Source organism: Homo sapiens, chromosome 2 (genome assembly GCF_000001405.40).
Source record: "Homo sapiens chromosome 2, GRCh38.p14 Primary Assembly".
Taxonomy (NCBI): Eukaryota; Metazoa; Chordata; class Mammalia; order Primates; family Hominidae; genus Homo; species Homo sapiens.
Genome location: NC_000002.12, coordinates 104,149,402 through 104,159,013, shown reverse-complemented (window position 1 = coordinate 104,159,013; position 9,612 = coordinate 104,149,402). Strand labels below are relative to the sequence as shown.

Below are 9,612 nucleotides of genomic sequence, written 5' to 3'. Positions count from 1 at the left end.
TTGCCTAGACCCTACTTTCATTTGTTAGAAAAACATGTTTTGAAAATTGAATTTCCCTGTAAGAACAATGGGTAAAATACAAGGCATATGTTTTTCAAATCACATAGTTTGTTTAATACCTAAAAAAATCTTCCACTCATTTTTCAATACTTTCCAACCATTCTCAAAAGACCCTTTCTTTATTATTTTTTAAACGTTGGAAGTGAGAAAAATGTGTATTTTGTGGAATGTGGGAGGCATGTTTATTCACAATAAACTGTGAAGCATATGGAATAAATTTCTCTTATAATACTAAACTTCAAAAGTTCAGGTTAAGTAATGTATGGCTGAGATCCTTTGGAGGTTTGCACAGCAAATTGGAAAAATCAGTCATGATATTTAGTGATCCTAATATGTTCATTTTCAGTGATGTAAATATACATGCAGAATCTCAGAGCATGGAGGATAAAATAAACGATACATTTTCTGAAGTTGGAAACACTAACTTTTGACTTACTGCCTCAGCATTGCTAAGTTATGCGCTCATCCCCAAAAGTTCTGTTCTCTTTTTTCCCAGCTTGTGCGATTGCAAACTCCTGGGTATTATGAAGTCACATGGGCTGTACTGCCCTGGAGCCTACAGTGTATATGATGTAGTTGGCTCCACATCCTTCAGCCTTCACCATGCTAAACATTTGGACTTGCTTACACTTCACTGCCCAGGAGCAAATGCTTCATGTCATAATCCCCTGTGGACTGAATCCGAATGAGTTTCTCACCATTCAAGAGGAAAAGCCAGAGAGAACCAACAATAGTAACACAGGGTAGAAACTTGCTTTTATTCAAAATGACAGACCTAGACCTTATTTCCTGATCTATAAAATATGCATTTAACAATCCTACTGCTTTTCTTAGGACATAAACATTTTCTTTTTCTTGCCTCAAGGTAGCATTTTCAAGATGCAGATGACTCCAAAATTGGCACATTCGTATCCTGAAGTTACCTGCAGGAAAAGTAGATAGTTTCTGGAATGTTTATGCCTCTACTTATAGTGAGTAGGTATTTTGGGGAAGCAGGGATTTCTTTAACAAATGTAATAAGCTCTGAATTATAGAAAATGAATCTTATTCATTTTTTCTAACTGTCCTTCTATACCTTATACAATAAACAAATTTCTGAAAGCTAAAGGTTGGATCCATTTCTTAGGAAATAGTAATTTATGACAGATATCCTTTCATGGAGATAAGAGAAACAGTAATAAAGCCAGGCTAGTTGCGAACAGCACTTAGAACATGTACAGTGCTTAACATGGTCGTTAGTATAGGGACCCAGTGATGATAGCTAAATATATCAATGTAGAAATGAATAAATAAGTGCGCAATTAGGTGTTGTGTTTTTGGAGATAGGTGACCTCTTTACCTATTAATCTCCTGCAAATGTTTTTAAGGTACAATAATTCTGGGAGACTGGAAAATTCAACATGTGGATGTTATTCTGTTTACCTCACTGCTGGCTTTTGTGTGCATACTTGTCACGTTAGCTAGTTTAGCATGTTGGTTAATTTCATGTGTCAACTTGACTGCTTTAAGAGATGCTCCAATAGCTGGTAAAACATTGTTTCTGGGTGTGACTGTGAGGGTGTTTCCAGAGGAGATTAGCATTCAAATCAGTAGACTGACTAAAGAAGATCACCCTCATCCGTGTGGGTGGGCCTCATTCAATCTAGTTAGAGTCCGGTAGAATAAAAAAGTGGAAGAAGAGCGAATTTGCTCTTTCTTTTCTTAAGCTGAGATATGTGTCTCCTCCTGCCTTCAGACATCAGAGCTCCTGTTTTCAGGTCTTTGGACCCCAGAATTCACATCAGCATTCCCTCTGGTTCTCAGGCCTTTCAACTTAGACTGAATTACATCACCAGCTTCCCTGGTTCTCCTGCTTGCAGATGGCAGATTCTTGGCTTCATAATCCTGTGAGTCAATTCCTATAATAAATCTCCCCTTTCATATATATATTTTTATATATATTTCCTATTGGTTCTGCTGATTTCGAAAACCCTAACAGTTCCTGTATGGACTAACAGTATGGGGGAAACTGTATCCATGTAATTGTTTTGTATTAATCCTAGTGTTTTGTATCAAGCCTAGTGTTGGATACAGTTAGACCTTAAATCCGTTAGACCTATGGTGGTAAATACTTCATTCATTCGCAAAGATAATTGGAGAACTGCTGTGTGTGGAGATTTTATAGAATCACTACTGTGAAATAGTTGTGCTGTACTGGATGCATGTAATGTAACATTCTTTCTACCACGGAGGAAAATATTGGCAAATATTACATTATGTTTTGTAGTCTTCAGGCCATTATCCCCATCTTGTAGTTGGAGACACTTAGGTTAGATGCTGGGTGACACATGACACAACTGTTGGCTCATATCTTAATATGTCGGGAAATCTATCACCTGGCTTCTGTGTTATTTTTCATCAGTCCATTGTTGCATTTGAAATGACCTCCTCACTGTCCACTGTTCTTTCCTGCTCTCTCTAATTCCCAGTTATCTCACCTACTGACCACAGACCCAGATTCTCAATGTATTGCCTATATTTTATATATTAATATATTACATACATTTTGTCATGTTACATATTTATATATATCACACATATTTTATATGCATATACCACTTACTATATTATGCATAACACTTATTGTTCAGACTTCTGGTGTCACAACATAATCAGTGTTCTTCAATGACAAAGATACAACACACAGGGTTAGCCTGGATCTTAACAGGCAGCCACAATCTCCTATTCCAGTCTTATCCTCCATGAGTCTTCTATTGCAAGCAAGTGCAACAAGTGTAACATCTTGAATTGCCCATTGGAATTTTCTAGGATTAATGAAAGAGCCTATATGTTTTCCTAGCCCATCTGTACTCAACACCTAACAGTGGCTCACAGTGGCTACTAATAAGCGGCTCTTTATTTGCCCACTGGGGAGCATTGTCTTAATGACAATCTCCAGCAAAAGGAAAGAAAGGTAGGAGAGGCAAGGAAATGTAATATTGTGCATAATTCGTCCATAGTTGCTTGTCTTAATTGAATACCAACGAAACTCAATCTAGGGACTTTGAAAGGTTCCAGTTTACGTTCAACCCCTGATCAAGTTTACGATTCAAAGCAAACTCCAGTAGATACTAAGGAAGGGAAGCAAACCGTGCGAAATGCTCCAACAAGATCTTTTCTGAGGATTCTTCCTCTCGCAGATCTGGGAAACAGGAGCTCTACTGTAGATATACCCCAGAACCTAGTAGAGGAAAGAAGAATGTGCTTTTAAAGAAACTTTAGATGCCTTATAATAAATCTGGATGTGCTTAACAATCCCTGAGGAGTTTAAAAAAGTCTGGATGTGTTTTCTCAAATAACTATTTAAAGCATATTAGAGTTTTTAATTGCACTGGGGACTTTTCAAAGCATATCAGGACAAAACAGTAGAGTATAGGCCCCAATATGCTAATTAATAGATAGCTAGACCCCTGAAATAAACCTGCAACACTCCATTAATCAGGCAGTAATTGAATTGGCACAGTGCTTTTGTGCAAACTACATGATAATTGAAAACCCAAACCTGGCAGCAGTGAGGGTAAGGTTCTCCACCACAACATATAACAGGGCATCCGGTTTGCACTTGTCAGTGGGCAGTTGGCCCTACTGTCAGGAGGCTTTGAGTAGGGAGAAAGCCAGCTCCTGAGTCCAGTGTCACCTTGATCTCTTGCTGAGATGGTCTTTTAGGTGTGTGATATCCAGTGGCCACAAGCATAACCCCATGGAAATACAAGTAATGGCTGATATGCTTTTCTCTGTTACCTAAAGACATCTGCCAATTAATGTGATTATAAAATAATAGTGAGGAACAGATGTTTCATTTGCTAATTTTATATCTGACTGTTGGAAAGCTAAATACCTGGGGATTTAACTGGCAAATACTACTTTGCTCATGAAAAAAAGAAACAATGCGTGCATTTTTTCCCACACAGCTGATGTGGTATAATTCTGGATAGTGGTTGCCTATAGTAAGAGCTCAGTAAGAGGGAGATTGATTGCTTCTAAAAGAAGAGAAGAAAAGTAGCACTTTAAGCCTTTTCTTTTTTTCTTCTTTCTTTCTTTTTTTTTTGTTTTTTTGCTATAAACAAAACAGTAAGCATATTGCTATGCCAAAAAATGCTGTTGCAATAAAAGAGTTTTGCCTGTCATATTGTGAGGGTGGGGTGGGGAAATTGATGTGAATACACTGAGGATGGACATAAATTATCCACCTAGAACTTTTAAATAAACCATCTTGAAAACCTTGAAGACCTTTTCTGCATTTGCCAGCCCTTAACTGGAACAGACGAAGACCAGGAAATGTGGAATCACAATGAAAAAGTTAGCTGTCATGGCTGGGGGGATCTAGAGGGAAATATTTTAAGAAATTTAGAAATTTAGGAAAAAAACCCAAGAATTATTTTAACTAAATATTTTCGTTCTAAGTACTCTTTTTCTTCCTCAAGGAGGTTGATTATAGTGTCAAATATATCTAAGATAAGTGTTTGTTAGTCCAGGATCTTACTGGAATCAGACTCTTCTTAACATTGTGTGTACACTGTGGCACTTTGCTCTGTCTGTTGCAAGAGGTCAACTTTGGGTGGAAGTTTCTCTTTCTGCTGTTAAATATACAATTATATCTGACTTTTAAGAAAAAAACCTGTGATTTGGGTACTAGAAGTGCTACTCAATGTTTCTGTGATCTTAGGCAAGTCACTAACCTCACTTTGCCTTACTTAGCTTACCTGTCCATAGAGGAATTTGGATTCCAGTAGAGCTTCAGAAATTGTCAAAATTCATGCCCTTTATACAAAAGTAAAACCTTTGAATTCTCTTTAAAATTTTTTAAACTTACAAACTATATGTAGTGTGATATAAGAAAACTTATATAGTTTAAAATCCTATAGTCACATGATTTTATAATTAACTCATATATATGTAGTTAACTTATATAGTTAAAATTTATATAGTTATAAATCAAAGTTATATAGTTATAAATCAAAGTTATATAGTTAATGGCTTTATTTTCAAATTTCAACCACTCTTAAGCTTCAGAGAATTTGCAAGACTTACACAAGTGTCATGTAGGCAATGAATGTTCATGTGTGTGAATCTGAGCATGTGGGAGCCAGCATCAGGACTAGAGCCTTTGAAATAGGATTATCCCTCTGCCAGACTACCTGGTTGTCCTTACCAACCTTGAAAATTGGACTTTGTTATCGGTGAATGTATTTAAACTTTGTCTAACTTTCCATGTCACATGAATTGAACATAAGCCTGTGTCCATCAGCGGCTGTCAACGCAAAAGATGGTACCTATGCTGTCGATTGCGAGTCTCTCTCCTGTAAAACAAATGAACAAACAAACAATAAACCGCTAAAAAAATAAAACTAAAACTAAAAACCTGATTGCTTTTCTAATTTGGGGTTTCTTTAGACCTCAAAGTGTTTGGTGTTACTTTTTTTTAATCTCAAGATGTTGTTCCATTATGAATTGCCGCTATCCTGTGCTAGTGCCTTTGATTGTTTTGTTTTGTTTTTCACCTCTAGCTGCAGGATCTATTCCATGGCATCTACCCCAGGACCCTTTCCTTTCTCTTAGATGCTGAGGTTATTCCCAGTCTACCTACAGAAACTTCACTTTCATTCTCCAACCCTAGTGATTTCAGGCACTTCTAGGGCTGGATTCCTCCGAGCCTTAGCCTGACTTTTATCTCAATATATCCGAAATATACGGGCTTGGAATCATTTTCAAAACACTGCTTCTTTCTAACTTTACTCCTTTTATTTTACCTTACATGTCTACATTCAAGACTTCAGCTTTACCTCCAAAACATAGCTCATGTTTTCCCTCTTTTCACCATCTGTCTGGGCCCCACAGCTGCCATTTCTCACCCCCTTCTGCAGTAGCCCCAATAGTCTCTGCCTCCACTCTTGCAATCATGAAATCAAGGTCCAAACATAGCAACCAGATGGCTTTTTTGAAAATGTAATCATACGTCACACCTTCCACCCATTTAAAAGTCTACCAGTTGCTTCCTGTTGTATTTAGAATAAAATTCAAACTTCTGACTATGACCCAAAAGCCAATAACTTAAAAGTCTGTCCCTATTTATCAATCTTATTTCCCCTGCCCTGTTTTCCTTCATACCACCTTCTCCACTTCCTCACTAAATGAGTCTTGCATTTGCACTTCCTCAGAGACCACAAGTTGGTCTTGGCCTGCAGACCTTGTATTTACTACTTGCTTTGCCTGGCACACTCTTCCCTGGGTTTTGTGCATGGCTGATTCCTTCTCTCATTCAGGCTTCAGCTCAAGGATAATTTCCTTGGACAGCCCTTCCTTGTTTCCATAAGTCCCCCTATCCCCACCAAATCACTCTCCACCCCCATTCATTATATATATATATATGACTTACAATAATCTCAACTTATCTGGTTCATCTGTTTACTTTTTATTGCTGCCTCCCACTATAAGAACATATCCTCTGTGATGACAGAGACTTTGGCAGTCCTTTTCTCTGCCACACTTCCAATGTCTAGGACAATGCTCAATAAATACTTCTGAAATGGATTTAGAAAAATGTTTCCACTAAGAGCATATGCTTGCAGTCTGTGCAACTGCTGAGGAGATATCAGCCCAGTGGTAGACACAAACTAAGAACCTGGGACTTTTCCAAGTGTTTTCAGAAACAGAGAAATTAATAACCACTAAAAAATTCCATTTCTCTTCCTAAAAAAAAAAGAAAAAAAAAAAACCCAAACTTGAATTTTAACATAAGTTAATGTTAATCAAACTTTACTCCACGGGAACAGATACGAAGGGAAATACATGTATTTCAAAGCAAGAATAATAAAAAATAAAGGATCCTCTGGTTCAGAGGCTGCCAAATTTTTCCATGAAAAACCAGAAAGTAGCAAATATTTTAAGCTTTGCAACCTATATGATCTCTAATGTGACTACTCAGCTCTGCCGTTGTACCACTAAAACTATTTATTGACGTTGAAATGTGAATTTCATATAATTCTCACCTGGCATGAAATATTAATCTTGTCCTGTTATTTTTTTTTCGATCATTTAAAATTTAAAAACATTATTAACTATTGGGTTATATAAAAACTGGTATTGGGCCAGATTTGACCTGGGGCACATCATTTGCCAACCCCTGTTCTTGGCATATTTCACCATCCCTAGCTCCTTCTTTGACCACCTAGGAACTGAGAGTTGTTCTAACTTAAAGTTTCTAGGAAGTTCTTACTCAGTGCATAGAGTAGGAATTTTTTGAAGATGCATTTACATCTCTAGATTTCTTGCTAATATCCTCTTTGGGTGTCAAAGTTATAAAATCCTTTTAAAGGCTATAATGCTTTTATTTCTTTGCACCCCAGAAAATCTCACTTGTATAGCAATGGGGAAAAATGCACCTTTGTTTCCTGGCTTTCCCAATGGGTAGCATCTGTTTTCTTAAAATTATTTCCATAAATTATTGTCAACCTGCATACATCCAACATTATGCTACTCCATATTAGTCTATGCTGTTGTACTCCAAATATTCCAATGTTCTTACTCTCCCAGCTTGACAGCAAGGGTTAAAAGTTGAAGAGAAAGATAAATAAAATATAATATATGCCCCATGCCCTTATAATCTAAAAGAGAAGCTCTCTTTATAATTGCTTAAAGTTATTTAGAAAATTTTGACTGAAGGACTCTTGCAATAGTTGTTTTACTACTAGGGTTCTTGTTTAAAAATCTACAATTACTCTTACCTCTTTTGTTCTAGCAGGAAGTTTATCCCTAGTCCTTCTAAATGTCTATCCGTTCCTGAAGCTGAACACTAGCTCTAACTCTGGAACTACTTGTGTTCTAGATTCCATCCCATCCCTTTGCATTTCCTCCTCCCTTCAGTTGAACAACAGCAACTTTCTTCTGTATATTCAATCTTTACTCTCTTAGGTATCCTCTGCAATCTAGCTCGAGGCTTCTAAATCCTTAAAAACTTTCATGTCTATCCTGCCTTTCTTCAAACCCCTGTCCTAGTCAACTCCTCTTTATTACCAACCTAGTTGAAAACAAATCCCCATGTAACATTGTCATCAGCTCTTCTAGCTACTGTTGCTGCATAATAAACCTGCTTATGACCTATTGTCTTAAAACAATACCAATTATTTATTTTTATCATGAATTTGCCATTTGGGCAGGGCTCTACAGGAATGTCTCATTTCTCTTCAGTAGGGTGACTAGACTGTTAGCTGTTTGATCTTTTATGCAAGGGATTATACATGGCTGGGAGTTGGGGCTTGGCTTCCCATGGGCTTCTTGGGCTGGCTCAGAGCATGATGTCTGTGTGCCAAGAGCAAGCATTCAAGAGACAGGAAGTGGGAGCTGTCAGTTTCCTAGGCCAACAGAGCTTTCATGCTACCATACTTGATGGGGGGCTTGTCAAATAATTTTGGGGCAGTATTTCAAAACCTTTCCTTAAAATTCTTTTGGTACTAACATCATTAACCTCCAACATACCAGATTTGATGGCATCTTTTCAGTATTTCTCCTGTGTCACCTCTTCCCTTCTCTCATATTCTCAGACAACCTTTCATCTCCTTTGACACCCATGAAACTTATTTCTCTTTATGTGTTTAATCCTTGATTCATTTTACTTTTTACCAGTGTCGCTGTTTTTTTTTTCTTGTGCATGAATCTTAAATAAATATTGGGGTTCTTTGGATTTGATCTTCCATCTTCTTTTCTTTCTATGTGCTCTTTTTTATCTTACAGAAATAGAGTCTTTCTATATTGTCCATGTTAGTGTTGAACTCCTGGCCTCAAGTCATCCTCCTGCTTTGGCCTCTCAAAGTGCTGGGATCACAGGCATAAGCCACCGTGCTCGGCCTCTAGGTGTTCTCACTGAGTCTTGCGGTAACAATTAATATCTACACACTGATTACACCCAGTTTATGTTTTAAACTCCACCCGTGTTGCTGAGCTCAAGCACGCTTTTTCTATTTGTCCTGTGTGCCTCAAATAATCATATTAAATATGAAAATTCCACAGAGCTACACTCTGGCTGTATCAAACTATCAGCTTCTTGAACCTGCTGCATCCTTGAATGACTCTACATCTTTACACAGGCTGTTATCGACACTGGACTTGCCTCTTGCTCACTTGGATGAACTCCTACTTATTCATCAAAACACAGCTGAAATAGCTTGTATTCTGTGAAAACTCCCTGATTCCCAGTTAGAGTGAACTGCTCTGAGTGGTGTCCATAATGCTTTGTTCTTCAAACAAATAATCTTAATTGTAATTTTATTTTACTACAACCTTCAGCTCTATTCATAGGTGCTCAGCTCAAGTCAGTTATTACTTGTGCAGGATAACTAAAGAAGTAAAATATAGCTCTACCTTAAAAAATAGTGTATTAGTCGTTTGCAGAAAAGTCCATATATGAATTTAAGGCAATGAACTGGTTTGGTATTTTTTTACTTGTAATGTGAAACTAAAACTGAAATTGTGTTTTTTGTTTTATTTGGGTGGGGAGTAGGAATGAGTGAACCCTCA

The 9,612-nt window shown here is 37.3% G+C and overlaps 1 long non-coding RNA gene across 2 annotated transcripts in view; it reads left to right on the top strand.

Annotated features, from left to right (window-relative positions):
• The first annotated feature begins 678 nt into the window (after positions 1-678).
• Positions 679-9,612, top strand: part of LOC105373523 (uncharacterized) — a 43,330-nt gene continuing 34,396 nt past the window's right edge. The window contains exons 1-3 of one of the 2 annotated variants that reach the window (XR_923128.1): positions 679-803; positions 930-1,035; positions 1,864-1,946. This is a non-coding gene — a long non-coding RNA (uncharacterized LOC105373523). Of the gene's footprint in view, positions 804-925; positions 1,036-1,863; positions 1,947-9,612 lie in introns of both variants that reach the window. The other variant, XR_923127.1, reaches the window with a different exon arrangement.